Raw genomic sequence first — 18309 nt, 5'->3', positions numbered from 1 at the left:
AGAACAACCTATTTATTAAACATTTTGTATAAAATATGTGCATTTTATATAAGAATTTGTGGATTGATTCATCTTGAGTTTGAATAATTATGTTTTCTAGACTTGGCCAGTGGTGATTTGTGGTTTAAAAAAGATGGGTTTATTATTTCTGCTCTTAAAAGAAGTCAAGAAAAGCCCTTTCACAAGATGTGCACACATTTTTTCTATGACAGCATGCTTCAGAAAGCATTTGCATTGTGATCTTTGCGTAATGGTCTTTTACGTTCAAATAAAACACTTTGTGGAGAAATTTTTTAAAAATCTGTAAACAACAAAGTAGAGAGAATGAGCATCTGTGTACATCAGCAGGACATTTTCAAAGATTGACATTTATAACTTGTCAATATTAGAACTCTGATGGGACAGTATGGCGTGAACTTTGTCCTGGCATAACCTCCCGTAAAGCTGTAATATATTGGAACATACCGCCTTCAGAAGACTTTCTGAATGGCTAGTGATTTCCCATGATTCTTTCTGGTCTGAAGCTATATTTTATTTTCATATAAAACCACTATAAATCTTCTCCAAAATTCATCCGTTTGACACTGGTCATTTTGTTTTCTTTTGTTATGGTGAAGGATGTTGACCAAGTTAAATCATGATCTAAGAGTTGGAATAAATCACAAAAAAATGCTCAAAGATTGATATTAAACACCTTTTATTTCATATAAGTCACAAAAAATGTAAAACTTAAAAAAAAAAGTCATATACCCATGATCAAATTTTAGTAAAACCAAACATACATAATTTCCATAACAGAACAAAACAGGAATATTAAAATATCTTACTTTTCTATTGGAATTAAAGGACAACTGTGAAATCTGGTGATACTTTAGATGTAGCAGGCTACTGAAAAGACTTTCTTTCTTTTTTTCCATATATTTCTTCATTTGTCTGTGATATAAATCCGTTTCAATGCTTTCCTTTTCTGCATATGTAGTGAAAAATACAGACTTAAAATTTAAAGAACAGATTGCAGACATTATCAAGAAGGGAGTTGACCCCTATATTTGTCCAATTATGCTAAATTAAAAGTTATACTTTCTTGCTTGAAATATACAATAAAGCTACTTAAATTTGTTAAAGGGCCTGGGTTTTGTCTTAATAATATTACTGACTCTAGTACAGCAGAAGTATTGGCTGTGCAGGATCATTTGAACTTTTCTACATTAATTGGGTTAACTACCCTTTAAATTAAAGGAATCATATTAGTGCCCTTCCTGCTTTCCGATGAGATGTAGCCTAACATTTAAGCTTTATAAACAGCATGGCTTTGTTTCCCTTGTATTTTTAGACCCTATTTGAACCTGTGAAATCCAAAAATGCCTTATTTTTTTTGGCTTAAAATCGAAAAGTATTTATTAATTTCCCCCTCCATTAGAGAGAGAATATTGTTTTGGCAACATTCTTTAAAAGTTGTTTCAATTTCATCACTGTTTAGTGGGTGTTGTGGTTTCCAGTATTAGTTGGGGTTTGTTTTGGCTGATTCTACCATAAATGTCCAAATAAAAGGGCTTATACAACGTAGCGGTATATTTTTATCACGCATTGATGTCTGGAGTGGAACAGTCCATGGCTCATCTGGCGGTTCATTGGTGTCAGGAGCTCTGACTCCTCTCATGTTATTATACTAACTTTAGCCTGTAACCTAATTGCCCAATAGGTTGCTTGAACTCTGGACATCACATCAAAATTCCAGTCAGCAAGAAAGGCAAAAACATCAGAAAAGTTTACTCTCTCTAAAGATAGCGTTCCAGAAATCCCACATAGTACTTCCACTGACGTCATATTGTCTCGAAGCTAGTTACTGAGCCACACGTAGATGCAAGGGAGGTTGAGGAATGTAGTCTTTTACCTAGATAGCAATTTGTCCAGTTAAAATAATATTTATTGAAGTAGAAAACTGACTATGTCAGCAACTGTGATGGTTTCTTGATGTGTGAACTCCAGCAGGTTGAACTATAGTCCCAAGGCATTCAAACAAACACTGATGTAGATAATGCCGTGAAGTGATTTTGCATTATCTGATTATGACCCCTACTCAGTTGACTTTAAGCTAAACAAACAAAAAAAAAGATTATTCTGGGTGGATCTGGCCTAATCAGATGAGCCTTTTTAGAAAGGACTTAGGCCTTCTCTGAGTTTAGAGATTAAAGATGGCCTGTTTTCACAAGGTTCTAACCTGCTTGTGATCTTCTCTTCCTGACTTTCCCTACAGACATTGAACTTGCTAACATAGTCTCTAGTCTCTACAATTACATCAGCCAATGCCTGATAATAAACCTCCCTTGCGCACTCTCCACCACCCCCAACCTCCCACTGGTTGAATGCTGAAGGATACAGCAACATTTTGCAATATCCGTTCCCAGTGCTTCAGTTTTCTTCCAGCTTGTTTATCCTACCTGGAGGTGTCCATGTGCTTTGAGACTATTATATTAGCTTCAGAGATTGGAGCAAATAACATGTCATCCTCTGGCCATTACTAGTTCAAGGACAATCCTAAGACCTAATTTCAGCCACTTCAGTAAAAAAGAGAATGGCTTCATATTTCTCAACCTAATGAATCCCATCAACTCTGAGAGTATTTTTGAGAAACTACTTGCTCTCTAGGCTTCAGTGTGAACATAGAGAAAGGAGCCCCAAGAACTTGTTGGTATTAGACATAAAGTAGAAGACAGTGGTAAGGATGAAGCGGACACACGAAAAACAGACCAGAGATAAAATATTATTATTTAAAGGTATAGAATCTAACCAGCCTTAACATTCCATAATCCCTCAACATTTTTAAGGGAACCTATACATTTTGCTAATCATTAACACAGTTTGAGTTGGCTATATGTCTCCTGCAATAAAACATATCCTAACTGATACAACTACGAAACAATTCATTTTATGAATGATTAAACATAGATAAATATCTAATTTGGGCATTGCCTTAAAGTGATATCTAGGAATTTCTATAGTGCCTCTGACAGTAGTAGATGCTGTTCTATTTGGCATGCAGACAAATTTCAGTTTAGTGTTAAGTACCAAAACATAAATATTTGTTGATAATTTTGAATATTGTGTATGAGAAATTAGTTAATTGGAAAAACACATAAAGCTGTTAGGTTTTGCTGTAATGATCAATCTGAATTATATCTATTCCTCTTGATTTCCTGTGTTCCTACCAAGAGATTCTTTACAAAGAAGATAATGGCAGTGGTTTGGGTTGTGGCTTAACTTGTGCCCTTCTACAAAATATGTTAAAATTCTAACCCCCAGTACTTTTGAATGTAACTTTGTTTGGAAATAGGGTCTTTGCAGATGTATTCAAATTAAGATGAGGTGGCTAGGATGGGCTCTAATCTGATGTGACTGTCATATGGAATTGTCATGTGAAGACAGACACACACAGGGAGGATGCTATGTGAAGTTAGATGCAGAGACTGTAGTGAACTGATGCAGCTGAAAGACAGAAAATGTCAAGGATGCACAGCCACCACCCAAAGCTAGGGAAAGGCAAAGAAGGATTCTACCTAAAGTCTCAGTGGGAGCATGATCCTGCAGACACCTTGATTTTAGGTTCCTAGCTTCTGCAGCTCTGAGAGAATAAACTGTTTTCAGTTTTAGCCACCTCATCTGTGGTAATTTGATATAGCAGCCTTTTGAAACTAATACAATATGGACATTTCTTTTGAAAAATGAAAAGGAAGTGAGGAAGAAAAGAATAAAATGTGAGGAAGTGGGAAGCTCAGTTAATATCTAATTTGAGTTAACCTATAATCTTAGCTAGTCAGGAGGCAAAGGCAGGAGGATTGCTTGAGCCCAGGAGTTTGAGGCTGCTGTGATCTATAATCATACCACTGTACTCCAGCCTGGGTGACAGACCAAGACCCTATCTCAAAAAAAAAAAATATTTCAATGGACATGTATTGCATAGTAGATATTTATCAGATGCTTTTTAAGAAAAATACAATGTTGTGGGGATGGAAAGTGAAGAGGTTATCAACAAGTACTGAAGACATAACAGGCTAGGCATGGTGTTAAATGCTTTACACATGTTACCTGATTTAATCCTCACAGTATTGTGGTAAAGCAGGTGTAATTACCCTTATTTTATTGCTGAGGAAGAGGTGGCTTAGTAAGGTTATGTAAATTGCCCATGATTACCATGATACTAAGTAGTAGATTTGAATTCTTGCAAGTCTAACCTAAAAGTCCAAGTCCTTTCCTCCAGACCAGGTGTCAGCAAATTATGGTCCATCATGGTGACAGGTGAAGCCAGCTGGGCTTCTGGGTCCATGGGGACTTGGAGAACTTTTCTGTCTAGCTAAAGGATTGTAAATGCACCAATCAGCACTCTGTGTCTAGCTAAAGGATTGTAAATGCACCAGTTAGTGCTCTGTGTCTAGCTAATTGGGTAGCAGACTTGGAGAACTTTTCTGTCTAGCTAAAGGATTGTAAATGCACCAATCAGAGCTCTGTGTCTAGCCAAAGGTTTGTACACGCACCAATCAGCACTCTGTGTCTAGTTAATCAGGTAGAGGACTGGGAGAAATTTTCTGTCTAGCTAAAGGTTTGTAAATGCACCAATCAGTACTCTGTAAAAATGGACCAATCAGCACTCTGTAAAATGGGCCAGTCAGCTCTCTGTAAAATGGACCAATCAGCAGGATGTGGGTGGGGCCAAATAAGGGAATAAAGGCAGGCCACCTGAGCCTGCAGCCGCAATGCTGCGGAAACTTTGTTCTTTTGTTGGCGGTAAATCTTGCTGCTGCTCGCTCTTTGGGTCTGCACTACCTTTATGAGCTGTAACACTCACTGTGAAGGTCTGCAGCTTCACTCCTGAGGCCAGAGAGACCACAAACCCACTGAGAAGAATGAACAACTCTGGACGTGCCACCTTTAAGAGCTGTAACACTCACTGTGAAGGTCTGTGCCTTCACTCCTGAAGTCAGCAAGACCACGAACCCACCAGGAGGAATGAACAACTCCGGACGTGCCATGTTTAAGAACTGTTAACGCTCACTGCGAAGGTCTGCAGCTTCACTCCTGAAGTCAGCGAGACCACGAACCCACCAGAAGGAAGAAACTCCGGACACATCTGAACATCTGAATTAAAACTCCGGGCACACTATCTTTAAGAACTGTAACACTGCAGGGGTCTGTGGTTTCATTCTTGAAGTCAGTGAGACCAAGAACCCCCCGGAAGGAACCCATTCCGGACACAGTGGAGGTCACATTTAACCTGCCCTCTGTTTTGGAGAATAAAGTGTTACTGGACCATGGCCATGCCCCTGACTGCTTCTGCACTACAATGGCAGGATTGAGTTGTCACAGAAACCTATGGCCTGCAATGCTAAAAATGGTTACAAACTGATCCTGTACTGAAAAGTTTTCCAAACCTTGCTCTAGACTTGTACAAGAAAATCTATATTTGATTCTTCAATCTTTTGCCTTCTAAAAATCAAAAATTGAGTAAATTATTTTAATGTCTGAGGCTGCATTCCTATCTTTAATGTGTGGATAATCCCTTATACTGTCATTCTGGGAATTACTTGATAAAATGAATGTTAGTATACTTTGTAAACTGTATGGAAATATACAAACCTAAGTAGTTAATCTTAAAAGCTATAAAAACCACATTACTTAATATCTTACTTCAATATTGAAATGAATTTAAATACCATTATACAACTTCAGATTTCTCTTATTTCATTGAGTTTGTCTAATTAACACAAATTATAGGCAGATTTCCTTCCCAAGCTGCCTTTGTTGTAGGGGTTCCTCTATGTGGGGTGGTCCCTCTATCCTGGGGATCTGTTTCTTCTGTGATCAAAACAGTAACTTTTTTTTTTTCTTCAAAAGGCAGAATTCAATCTTTTGTTGTGGGCCACCATGGGAACATTCCTTACATTCCTAAAGAGAGAGTTTTTCAAATGTAAAGACTTTGCAATCTCCTGATTAAGTCCACCAAACCTGATCTATTTCAACTATGATCTTTAGGTTGAAGTTCTAAAAATCTAAGGCTGCATTATTTCATTCAATGTCTCCTGTCCAGTTCTTAAACATTTAATTCTTTTCATCTGTTTTGACAGGACATTCCTTTAGGGTTCACATTAAAGGCTGCTGACTCCTAAAAAATGTAAACTCGTTTTATTAGTCGTTTGATTGTTCATTGTAGGCACGGTTTTAGGCTCAAAGTCATCTTTCAGTATCCATACTTATTCCTGAGACTCAAAAAACCCATCCTCTTCTAATTCTCTTTTATTCACGTGTTCGCTATTGACATTTCCTCAATCCCAAGCTTAGTGAGACTACCTGCTTTCTTTTACAAGTTGTCAATGGAATACTGCATGAGACCAATCAGTTAACTGGAAACATTTGTAAAGCCTATCTGTTTGAATGTAGAAATCGATGTGAATACTACCTATTTCTATGTTTTATATTTTGTGTTTTTTTCAAATTAAGAGTTTCCAACAATGAAGTCTTTCTAATAGGCTGACAACCTACTTTACCTTGCTTAGTTGAAACAGATGTTGAAAAATACCTTTTAGGGAGGAATGCATTTGGGAAACAGTGGTGTGCTAGAGCTGGCTGTACTGGCTCCTGAGAGCCACTTATTAAATTATTGGAAATCTTGGTAGAGGATCGTCGCTCATGCCTGTAATCTCAGCATTTGGGGAGGCTGAGGCAATAAGTTTGCTTGACCCCAGTAGTTGAGAACAGTTTGAGCAACAAGGGAGACTTCCTCTCTAGTTTTAAAAAATAAAAAAATAAAAAATAGCAGTGAGTCAGTGCTTTTCTCAAGATCACAGATGAGCAACTATGCAGTTATAAGAAAAATATATATTTTTGTAACACTGTAGTAAACAATGGCTTTCTTGTAAACAAACTATAGCACATCTTCACAGTTTTGTACAATTAAATATGCTACTTCTGTTTAATTCAAGTCTTGTTTTCTCCTCTAAGATGGGCAATTTGAAAATAATTGTTCCTACTGTACTGAAATGCTATTACTTTTGCATTTGGTGCTTCTAGAGGTCTTTTAGAATTATATTTATTGTGATCTAAAACTTTTGTTTCTTCTCCTGCCTGATCTCCATTTCATTATAATGACCACTGGCATTTTCACATTTTGATGACTATCCATGCCTGCCAATCAGTTCTGAGACTTAATTTCCTTCTAAGCATCATCATTGAATGAAATATTTCAGTCATCAACATTTTGAAGCATATGGCAAAAGACTCAGAGAGTTGTGTTCAGAGGGCTATATGAATGTCTAGGATTCGGGACTGGAGATATCTTAAAAATAATGAAAAATATTCTAAATAAGGGTTGTTCTTGGTAACTTTGTGATTATTAGGTTATTCCAGGGTTCATTAAGAGGAATACTGTCTATAATGAAGAGCTGGGTTTTAAGAAAATTAAGCACTTCCAACTACATAGATCTATCAGTTTCTGTATGAATATTGAAGCTAACTTTTCAGAGAGTTAAGAAGAGTAAATTCGTCATGCGCCTCACAAAGGTTAAAAACTAAGTGAAAGACTTTTGATAAGTTTAAAGCTTAATGAAGTGAATTGGATTCAGTGAAAATTTCTTTAGAAGTTTTCAGCAAATGAACATTTTGTAGACACTGTCTCATTTGACAGCTACATCCCCATGAAGTGAGATTTTTACAATATGATTTGGGTGGATATGACAGTTTAAGTAGAAAGGCATTAAGACTTCTATTTTTTCATTCCTAAAAGAAGAAAGGCAGTAAAGGTGGAAGCTTGGGGAATGTGTTGGAACTTAAAAAGTAAGAACTTTGTATATAGTTACTAGGTGCAAATATATCTGCTTCTGAATAATCAAATGGAATGATTTCCAGGGAGTGAAAGAAAATGATTGATGATAGAAGATAGGAAACTTTCCACTTAGATTTACTTTACATGTGTGAGAGAAAAAGAGCAGTAGCAATTATGATATATTCACATTTAAATATCTTTAAAATTATGTTTTGGGAGCTGAGTGTGGTGGCTTATGCCTGTAATTCCAGCTACTTGGGAGGCTGACTGGGGGAGGATCTCTTGAGGCCAGGAGTTCAAGACCAGCCTGAGCAACATAGTGAGACCCTATCTAAAAAAATGACAAATAAAAATAATTTAAAAATATTTATAATAACAAACAAACACAACTTCATCCCCCCTCCGCCCCATGAAACATTTAGTGTCAAGCTGTCAGAACTGATCTTCTTATATCTAAATATGTCAATGCCCTCAGCAGTCACTCATCCTTTGGGTCTTTCTCAAACAATCCAATTCCAGAGTGACCTGAGCCTGTCTAGACAGTTTTCCTAAAAATATGGTAAATTTCTCTGGGAACTAAGCAAGAAAATAAAAAAGTGATTTTGTGCTATTAGCTATTCCTGAAAGAAATTACGTCTAATTTTTCATTTACTTCAAATGGCATGCTTTTCCTCAATTAATTACTGGAGTCTGTACATGTTGAAACCCTTTACTCCACTGCGCATTCATTAGCATCTATATGTCTTTTCCTGAAGGATATTGATGGAGTGTCATCACTTGCCAAAGTCTAGAATTTCATTGAAAATATTAACATGCAAACCTCATAATTCCCCTTTTTCATATATCATTTTTAAATGCCTCCTTTGGCTGCTGGTATGCAGTAGTGCCAGGACAAATTGTGTCCTGGTGGTGGAGAATAGGTATAGTAGGAGCCTTCATTCCACCTAACGTGCCTTGGCAGGCCCAGCCTCTGACACACCTCCTTATGTCTCTCATTCTGGCTACATGTTTCTGCAGCCTGATTTCACAGATTTGGAAGTGAAAAGGCCTCCACTGTACACCCATTTCTATGTCAATATTAAGTCAGTGTGGCCAGGTTACCTGATAACAGGTTGCAAATAGAGATGTGGATCTAAGGCAATTTCCTGTCCCAAAGGAAGGGGGCAGGGCAATCCTGTGGAGGCACTACGAAGAGGTTTATCAGAGTTAGGCTATAGTCCTGAGTTAGAGAGTCCACGTGAGTGATCAGGGCTATGTTTTCACCTGAGATTCAGAACATAGAGATTAGTAACTGAACAGAAGCATAAATTGTCTGAAATACAAGAGACTAGAAGCAAAGGTGTTAAACTAAAGTAGTAAACACAAGATACCATTTGAAATTGTAAAGTCAGAATGAGGAAGATTCTGTATAGTTGACAGGTTGCACTGGCTAAGGGACTCACCATGTTTCAAACTCATAGTACAGAATATTTTTGGTCAAGAGAGTTCCTGGGTGATGGTGGGGTGGGAGGAGATGCAGAGAAAAAAAGAGAAAAAGGGGGAGAGAGAAGGAACTCAAGGTGTCTAATTACTGAAATCTGGTTAACAGATATGAGTTTATTACAGGTAAATTCATATTAACTCTATCCAATTTTTTCTAGCAGTATTGTAACCTTTTACTGCATATTCAGATGTATACTTTTGAATTAAATTGAGTACTGGTTTTGATGTCTAAACAGAGAGATCAGAAATTAAAATATCATTTACATGTTACTAGTGATGAAACAACATCAGGAAAATCCAGTGGTACTGAACAGGCATGTCCACGTTCTAACAGGCAGCTCAGGATCATACTATGAGGTAATATGCAACTGCTAGGTTTTTCCTATTCTGACCAATTGCCTGGACAAGAGTGGTAGTCCGTCTTAGTTTTCATTCATCGTTTCTGCTGGCCCTCTGAGGTGTGTCACTTCTAACTTCATTGCTTCTATTCCTTTGTCTCAAATAACAATTATTCAGCCTGATTCAAGTTAATATACAAAATTGTTTATTGTAGCAATGTTAACTAAATCATAGAAAATAAGTAAACACTAAAAAGCCAAACTCTGGGAAGAAACAAACTCCAGAGAAGCTCTAGTAACTCAGTAGCAGAAATGTCCAGCAATCTGTTAGGGCTCTGTCTTCACTCTGGACTATTTCCATCCATCTACTGTCCCTGGATCTTTTTGCTCAAGAGTAAAATTCCAGTGAAAGAAACAGAATAAAGGAGAATGAGAGAGAGAGTTTCCTAGTCTGGGTGGCATTCTGCAGCTTGGGGTTCATTTGATTATCCTCTGAGATTATGTGGAGCTACAGGAGAAGGATCACTCCAAAATCCTGCAGACCACATGGAAGGATTGGGAATACAATCTAACAAATTAAACTTCCGTATGTAATTCCTTGTAAATATAATCTGTATGTTGAAAATTGGGGCAATCAAAAGTGTTAAGCTAAAATGGGACAGGGATAGTAGGAGACAATTGAATGAGATTCTTTAGGATTCTCTTGCCTTCATAAACATATGTGTATTAACTGCCTAATTTTCTAGAAAATACATGGAAAAGTAAATGAATAGACTGGGGCCCTAGTTAAGGTACAGGCTGGGTAAATCCGTAAGTGAAGTGCTGTGTTCATTTCTGTTCTTTGTAATTTTAGAAGCTTGTAATGAAAGAGCACCAACAGAGAATAGAGATTCAGTGCAGTGACTTTGGAATCAGATAGAGTTTGGTGTAAACCCTCACTCTGCTACTTTCTAGCAGGACTCTGAGTGAATCTCTCAACCTCTTTATGCTTGCATGTCTTTATCTGTAAAAAGAGATACATAATTTGTTCTTGGAGTGATTTTTTTAAGTTTTAAAGGGGATAGTAATATTTGTAGTTGGCATACTGAATAAAATGGTAGATATTGTCATTGGTATTTTTAAGACTGCGCATGAAAATCATGAGAAGACCAAATTACTTTTCCAGGGCTGCTGTAACAAAATACCACAGACTGGGTGGTTTAAACAGCAGAAATTTATTGTCTCATAGTTCTGGGGGCTGGAAGTCCAAAATCAAGATGTTGGTTCCTTCTGAGGCGATGAGGGAGGGATCTTTTCTAGTCCTCTTTCCTTGGCTTGTAGATGACCATCTTCTCCCTGTGTTTCTTCACATCACCTTTTTGCCATCTGTCTCCTCTGTCCACATTTTCTGTTTTTATAAGGATTAGGGCCCACCCCAAATACCTTATTTGAACAGGACTATCTTTATAAAGACACTATCTCCAGATATGGTCACATTCTGAGATACAAGGGTTAGGATTTCAACATATGAATTTTGTAAGTATACAATTCACTCCATAACAACCAGGTCTCATTGTGAAACTCTTGGATGATCTGTGGATATTTAGTCTTGAAGAGGAATAGGGGCAATTCTACAGAGAGAGGCAAAAATTTGATAAATGCCTTCAAATGAGATAATGTACAATGTCTAAGGAAGTTAATACAATGTTTAACATATTGTAAGCATTCAATAATTGTTATCTCTCTCTCTAACCAAGTATTTGTTGAGTACCTCCTCTGTTTCAACCCACTACATTTTGGTTTGATTTGTTATCCAACAATAGATAAAAGAAACACTACCAGTTAAGTAATTCATTTATAACATTTGTTTTCAGTTATGTGTTTTTGATAGCTTCAGAAGAAAAATCCATTTGATGAGGCAATGGTTGAATTAAATATCCATTGTAGAACTATGGGGCCTTCCAAAATCCAAATGAGCAGGTTTTAGCCAAATTATATGAGCACAATCTAAATAATTACTGGTCTAGGCAGTGGGGACATAGTGCTAAACACAGAAACCAGGAATGCTGGATTAGACTTGTTTTATGTGACCCCAGAATAGAAATTCCAATTAATATGTAGCAATTATGTAGAGAGATATTCTTGTCTCATCATAAGAAAGAACTTTCTAAAGGGCAAAGCTATTAAAAGATGGCTGCTTTTGGCTGGTCACGGTGGCTCATGCCTGTAATCCCAGCACTTTGGGAGGCTGAGGCGGGCAGATCACCTGAGGTCAGGAGTTCAAGACTAGCCTGGTCAACATGGTGAAACCCCATCTCTACTAAAAACACAAAAATTAGCTGGGTTTAGTGGTGGGCGCCTGTAATCCCACCTACTCAGGAGGCTGAGGCAGGAGAATTGCTTATAGCTGGGAGGCGGAGGTTGCAGTGAGCCCAGATCGTGTCATTGCACTCCAGCCTGGGAGACAGAGTAAGACTCTATCTCAAAAAAAATAAACAGAAACAAACAAACAACAACAACAACAAAAAAAAATGGCTGCCTTTGAGGTAGCAAACCTCTCTCATATATCAAAACCCATCTTGGAAGATGAAGTATTTGGCATGAGGTTACGGGAATTAAAGAGATGAAAGAGAAGTCAGGTAACTGACTTTTAGAACCCTTTCCTACTCTAAATTTCACTATTTAATGAAATTAAATAATTCATTTTAAAAAGGTGTGAGGAAAGGGTAACAAGAAAGTATAAGAGAACAGGTGTATATAATATTTGTTTTGAAACTAAGTACTCTAATCTCTTTTTATTTACATGGGAAAACTTTCTATAACTCCAGGAACTGTTGCAATCATAGAAGAGAATCAACTCAGCTGGTATAGTCTCTGGTTTCCAACTTTTGAGTTTCAAGAAGATAGTGCTGCTGAATGAATGGAGAGTATTCTAATTGATACAACCCCAGTCTAGTGGTTTAACAAGACTTGGAAATGTTGCATTATAAAGCCATGACTCCAGAAATAGCAAGTGTCTTCCAAGTTGGCAATATGCTTCTGCGACTTCTATAACAGAGACAAATGTTAAACTTAAAAAAAAATCGGAGCCAATATTAAGAAATATTATACATAAACATGCATCAAAATGAAAACTTCTAAAATTTCTAATTTTAGAACAGAGTTCAAATGTACAGATGATATTGTATATGAAGCTTCAGGACTTCATAAAAAAGTAAGTGCAAATCAGTATAAAAGAACCTCCAGTCTGGGTGTGGTGGCTCATGCCTGTAATCCCAGCAGTTTGGGATGCCAAGACAGGAGGATTCCTTGAGCCCAGGAGTTTTAGACCAGTCTGGGCAAAATAGTGAGACTTCTTTCCAAAAAAAAATTTAAAAAGTAGCCAGGTGTGGCAGCATGCACTTGTAGTCCCGTTACTGTGGAGGCTGAAGTGGGAGGACTGCTTGAGCCCAGGAGGTTTAGGTTGCAGTGAGCCTTGATTGTGCCACTGCACTCTAGCCTGGGCAACAGAGCAAGATCCTGTCAACAACAACAACAAAAATAACAACAACAATGCACGTTTATAAATAGAGACTTCAAAGTTTCTAACATTTAAGTTGCAACTTAAGAAAGGTTGCCCTTTTTTGAGAGAGAGAGAGAGAGAATCTCACTCTGTAGCCCAGGTTGGAGTGCAGTAATGCAGTCATAGCTCACTGCAGCCATCAATTCCCGGGCTCAGGTCATCCTCCTGCCTCAGCTTCTTGAGTACCTAAGACTACAAGTGTGCACCATCACACCCTACTAATTTTTAAAATATTTTGTAGAGACAGGGTCTTGCTTTGTTGCCCAGGCTTGTCTCAGACTCCTGGCCTCAAGCAATCTTCCTGCCTCAGCCCCCAAAAGTGTTGGGATTACAGGTGTGAGCCACTGTGCCTAGCCTCAAGGCTGTTTTGGTTAAAGTTATAGTTGCATGGGAGCTGATGGAGAATCAGGATTTTACTATTAATGAATGATCAGGCAACAGAAGTATACAAACATAAATTGTCTATAGTAGCCTTACCCTGGTGGCCCCCAAAGGCCATTCCTTGTGGTTTCCAAGGCTTTGAGTAGTTCTTGTTCATGCTGGCTTTGGGCTTTGCCATGTGACTTGCTTTGGCAAACAGGACATTAGCGAGTGTGACACAAGCAAAGGCTTGATAAAGCACTTGAATATTGGGGCTTGTTGCTTGGCATCAAATGTTATGCTGTAAAGAAGCTTGGGCTCTGCTATTCAATGGTGAGAAGGCCATGTGAGAGTCTGAGATGATAGAGGATGAGGGTCTGCTTGGATACTCTGGCCACAGCTGAGTTCCTAGTTTATTGCAGTCCCAAATGTGACTTCAATTATAAAAGGACCATCCAGCTTGTTCCAGTCAACTCGGAAGAATCATGAGCAATAATACATTTTTGTTGTTTGTACCCACTACATTTTGGTTTGATTTGTTATTCAACAATTGATAAAAGAAACACTACCATTTAGTAATTTATTTATAACATATGTTTTCAGTGATGTCTTTTTGATAGCTTCAGGAGAAAAATCCATTTGACAAGGAAATGGTTAAATTAAATATCCATGGTAGAACTATGGGGCCTTACAAAATACAAATGAGTAGTTTTTAGCCAAGTTATGTGAGCACAATCTAAATAGCTCCCTAAGAAGAAAGGATTTTATGAAAAACTATAATATTTTAAAGGCTTCTAGGAGAGTTTTTAGTAGCTAGTAGCAATTTATTAAATGATATATTTTGTTACATGTTTTAGACTTCTGTAGCAGCTAATTATAGTGATGCTTATTCTCTATTATCAAACAAGGCATTAATAATTTTTTTCAATGTAGACCAGAATGTCTTTGAGGAAACAAACTAAAGAAACTGTATTCTTTTTTTTTTTTTTTTTGAGACAGAGTCTTACTCTGTCATCCAGACTGGAGTGCAATGGTGCAATCTCATCTTACTGCAAACTATGCCTCCTGGGTTCAAGTGATTCTCATGCCTCAGCCTCACGAGTAGTTGCGATTACAGGCATGAGCCACTATGGCCGGCTAATTTTTCTAGTTTTAGTAGAGATGGGGTTTCACCATGTTAGCCAGGTTGGTCTTGAACTCCTGTCCTCAGGTGAGTATTCCCTGCCTCGGCCTCCCAAAGTGCTGGGATTACAGGTGTGAGCCATTGTGCCCAGCCGGAGAAACTCTTCTCACTAAACTGAACTTGTGGCTCGTTTGTTGACAAAGTATTCACTTAAAAAAAATCACCTGAGGATTTCTGAAAATTATGATTCTTTCATTTATATGAACTACTACTGAATTAAAAAATATTTACATTAAACTTAATAGAAGCCCTCCATTATATTATCCATTATAAAAAAAAAAGATTTACTGGTATTTTTAGATTTATCTAATAAAAGTACACTTTTTCATATGTTTTGAAATATAAATGGTTGTTACATAAAATGGCAGTGAAATTATAGTTTCAACAGATAAAACTGAAAAAAGTTTCTTTGGGTTATAGTTTTTTATAGAGCAAGTAAATAGTTGCTTTCTCTAAAACATAAATTTAAATGGTAAATTCAGTCATGTGGCAACAGGTATAAGAAATGTAAGTTATTTATACCTATGTTTTACAAGAATTTCAGTTAGATAATATTCCTTTCAATTATATAATGGTTAACAGTTTGCACAATTCTTTATCAGACTTTTTAATCAAGTAGTCACTAAGAGCCAAACACTATGAAAATTCTGAGATATCCAACCTAAGCTCAATGGATATATTTATGTGGACCTCAGATTGTAATGATATGGCATATCAATATAATTTGAAAAGTGCTTCACCAGGAGAAGTACTGATATGATATGGCTCTGTCCCCACCTTGAAATTTTATTATTATTATTATTATTGAGATGGAGTCTTGCCCTGTAGCCCAGGCTGGAGTGCAGTTGCACAATCTCGGCTCACTGCAAACTCCACCTCCCAGGTTCAAGTGATTCTCCTGCCTCAGCCTCCTGAATAGCAGAGATTACACGTGTGCACCACCATGCCTGGCTAATTTTTTGTATCTTTAGTAGAGACGGGGTTTCACCATGCTGGCCAGGCTGGTCTCAAACTCCTGACCTTGTGATCCACTTGCCTCAGTCTCCCAGAGTGCTGGGATTATAAGCATGAGCCACCTGCACCTGGCCCTTGAATTTTAATTATACCCAAATGTCAAAGGCAGGGCCAGATGGAGATAATTGAATCATGGGGCTGGCTTCCCCCATACTGCTCTCGTGACAGTGAATAAGTTTCGTGAGATCTGATGGTTTCATAAAGGGGAGTTAGCCTGCATAAACTCTCTTTGCCTGCCATCAAGTAAGATATGACTTTGCTCCTCATTCACCTTCCGCCATTATTGTGAGGCCTCCTGAGCCATGTGGAACTGTGAGTCAATTAAACTCAGTCTCAAGTATGTCTTTATTAGCAGCATGAGAATGGACTAATACAGTAAATTGATACCAGAAGTGAGGTGCTGCTGAAAAGATTCCCAAAAATGTGGAAGTGACTTTGGAGCTGGGTAACAGGTAAAGGCTGGAACAGTTTGGAGGGCTCAGAAGAAGACAGGAAGACGTGGAAAAGTTTGGAACTTTCTAGACTCATTGAATGGCTTTGACCAAAATACTAATAGTGATATGGACAATAAAGTCCAGGCTGAGGTGGTCTCAGATGGAGATGAGGAACTTGTTGGGAACTGGAGCAAAGGTGACTCTTGCTATGTTTTTGCAAAGAGACTTGTGGCATTTTTCCCCTGACCTAGAGATTTGTGAAACTTTGAACTTGAGAGAGATGATTTAGGGCATCTGGCAGAAGAAATTCCTAAACAGCAAAGCATTCAACAGGTGACTTGGATATTGTTAAAAGCGTTCAGCTTTATGTATTCACAAAGATGTGGTGTGGAATCAGAACTCATGTTTAAAAGGAAGCAGAGCATAAAAATTCAGAAAATTTGCAGCTTGATGTTGTGATAGAAAAGAAAAACTCATGTTCTGAGGAGAAATTCAAATCTCAAACCGGCTGCAGAAATTTGAATAAGTAATGAGCAGCTCAATGTTAATTGCTGAGACAATGGGGAAAATGTCTCCAGGGTATGTTAGAGGTCTTCACAGCAGCCCCTCCTATCACAAACCAGGAGGCCTAGGAGGAAAAATGGTTTTGTGGGCCGGGCCCAGGGTCCCCCTGCTCTGTGCAGGCTAAGGACTTGGTGCCCTGCATCCCAGCTGCTCCAGCAGTGGCTAACGGGGGCCAAGGTACAACTTGGGCCATGGCTTCAGAGGTTGCAAGCCTCAAGCCTTGGCAGCTTCCATGTGGTGTCGAGCTTGCGGGTTCACAGAAGTCAAGAATTGAGATTTGAGAACCTCCACCTAGATTTCAGAGGATGTATAGAAATGCCTGGATGTTCGGGCAGAGCTGTGCTGCAGGGGTGGTGCCCTCATAGAGAACCTCTGCTAGGGTAGTGCAGAAGGGAAATGTGGGGTTGGACCCCCCACACAAAGTCCCCACTGGGGCACTGCATAGTGGAGCTGTGAGAAGAGGGCCACTGTCCTCTAGACCCCAGAATGGTAGATCTACCAACAACTTGCATTGTGCACCTTGAAAGGCCACACACACTAATGCCAGCCTGTGACGGCAGCCAGAAAGGAGGAAGGAGGCTGTACAATTGAAAGGCACAGCGGTGGAGCTGCCCAAGACCATGGGAACCTGCCTCTTGCATTAGCATGACCTGGTTCTGAGACATGGAGTGAGACAAAGGAGAATATTTTAGAGCTTTAAGATTTGACTGCCCCACTGGATTTCAGACTTGTCTGGGGGCTGTAGCCCCATTGTTTTGGACAGTGTCTCCCATTTGGAATGGCTGTATTTACCCAACACCTGTACCCCCATTGTATGTAGGAAGTAACTAACTTGCTTTTGATTTTACAGGCACATAAATGGAAGGGACTTGCCCTGTCTCAGAAGAGACTTTGGACTGTGGACTTTTGAGTTAATGCTGAAATGAGTTAAGGCTTTGGGGGACTTTTAGGAAGGCATGTTGGCTTTGAAATGTGAAGACACAATAGTTGTGAGGGGCCAGGGGCATAATGATATGGTTTGGCTGTGTCACCACACAAATCTCACCTTGAATTGCAATAATGCCCATGTGTCAAGGGAAGGGCCAAGTGGAGATAGTTTCCCCCATCCTGTTCTTGTGGTAGTGAATAAGTCTCATGATATCTGATGGTTTTATAAATGGGAGTTTCCCTGCACAAACTCTCTTTGCCAGTTGCTATGTAAGATGTGACTTTGCTCCTCCTTTGCCTTCCACCATGATTTTGAGGCCTCCCTAGCCATGCTGAACTGTGAGTCAATTAAACTTCCTTTCTTTATAAATTAGCCAGTTTGAAGTATGTCTTCATTAGCAGTAGGAGAACAGACTATTACAAGTACTAACTGAGATTTCATGATGTATTCACTTGTTCAAACCTTTGGGTTCATGAGAGATTGCCAGAGGAGATAATCAAATGTGAAAGGCTAGAGATGAAGGGACATGGTACATATACAAAAAAGGGGAGGGCAATAATTCAAAATCGGTGGTGTATATCTTAATAGGGGAGAGTGGCAAGGGATCACAGTGGACAAATTAGCACCATCTAGATTTACACTGACTTTTAAA

General features: G+C 38.5%; 1 annotated feature.

Moving 5' to 3' along the window:
• Positions 4520 to 5427: an enhancer, noted in NCBI's record as "H3K27ac hESC enhancer chr8:116170487-116171394 (GRCh37/hg19 assembly coordinates)". NCBI's record gives its function as "activates a minimal SCP1, AML or CMV promoter by ChIP-STARR-seq in naive H9 embryonic stem cells {active_cell/tissue: H9 hESC(naive)}" and the evidence as "EXISTENCE:reporter gene assay evidence [ECO:0000049][PMID:30033119]".

This window comes from Homo sapiens, chromosome 8 (assembly GCF_000001405.40).
Source record: "Homo sapiens chromosome 8, GRCh38.p14 Primary Assembly".
In the NCBI taxonomy this organism is placed as follows: domain Eukaryota; kingdom Metazoa; phylum Chordata; class Mammalia; order Primates; family Hominidae; genus Homo; species Homo sapiens.
The sequence above is the reverse complement of the archived record's forward strand: the minus strand, read 5'-3'. Positions and strand labels throughout refer to the sequence as shown.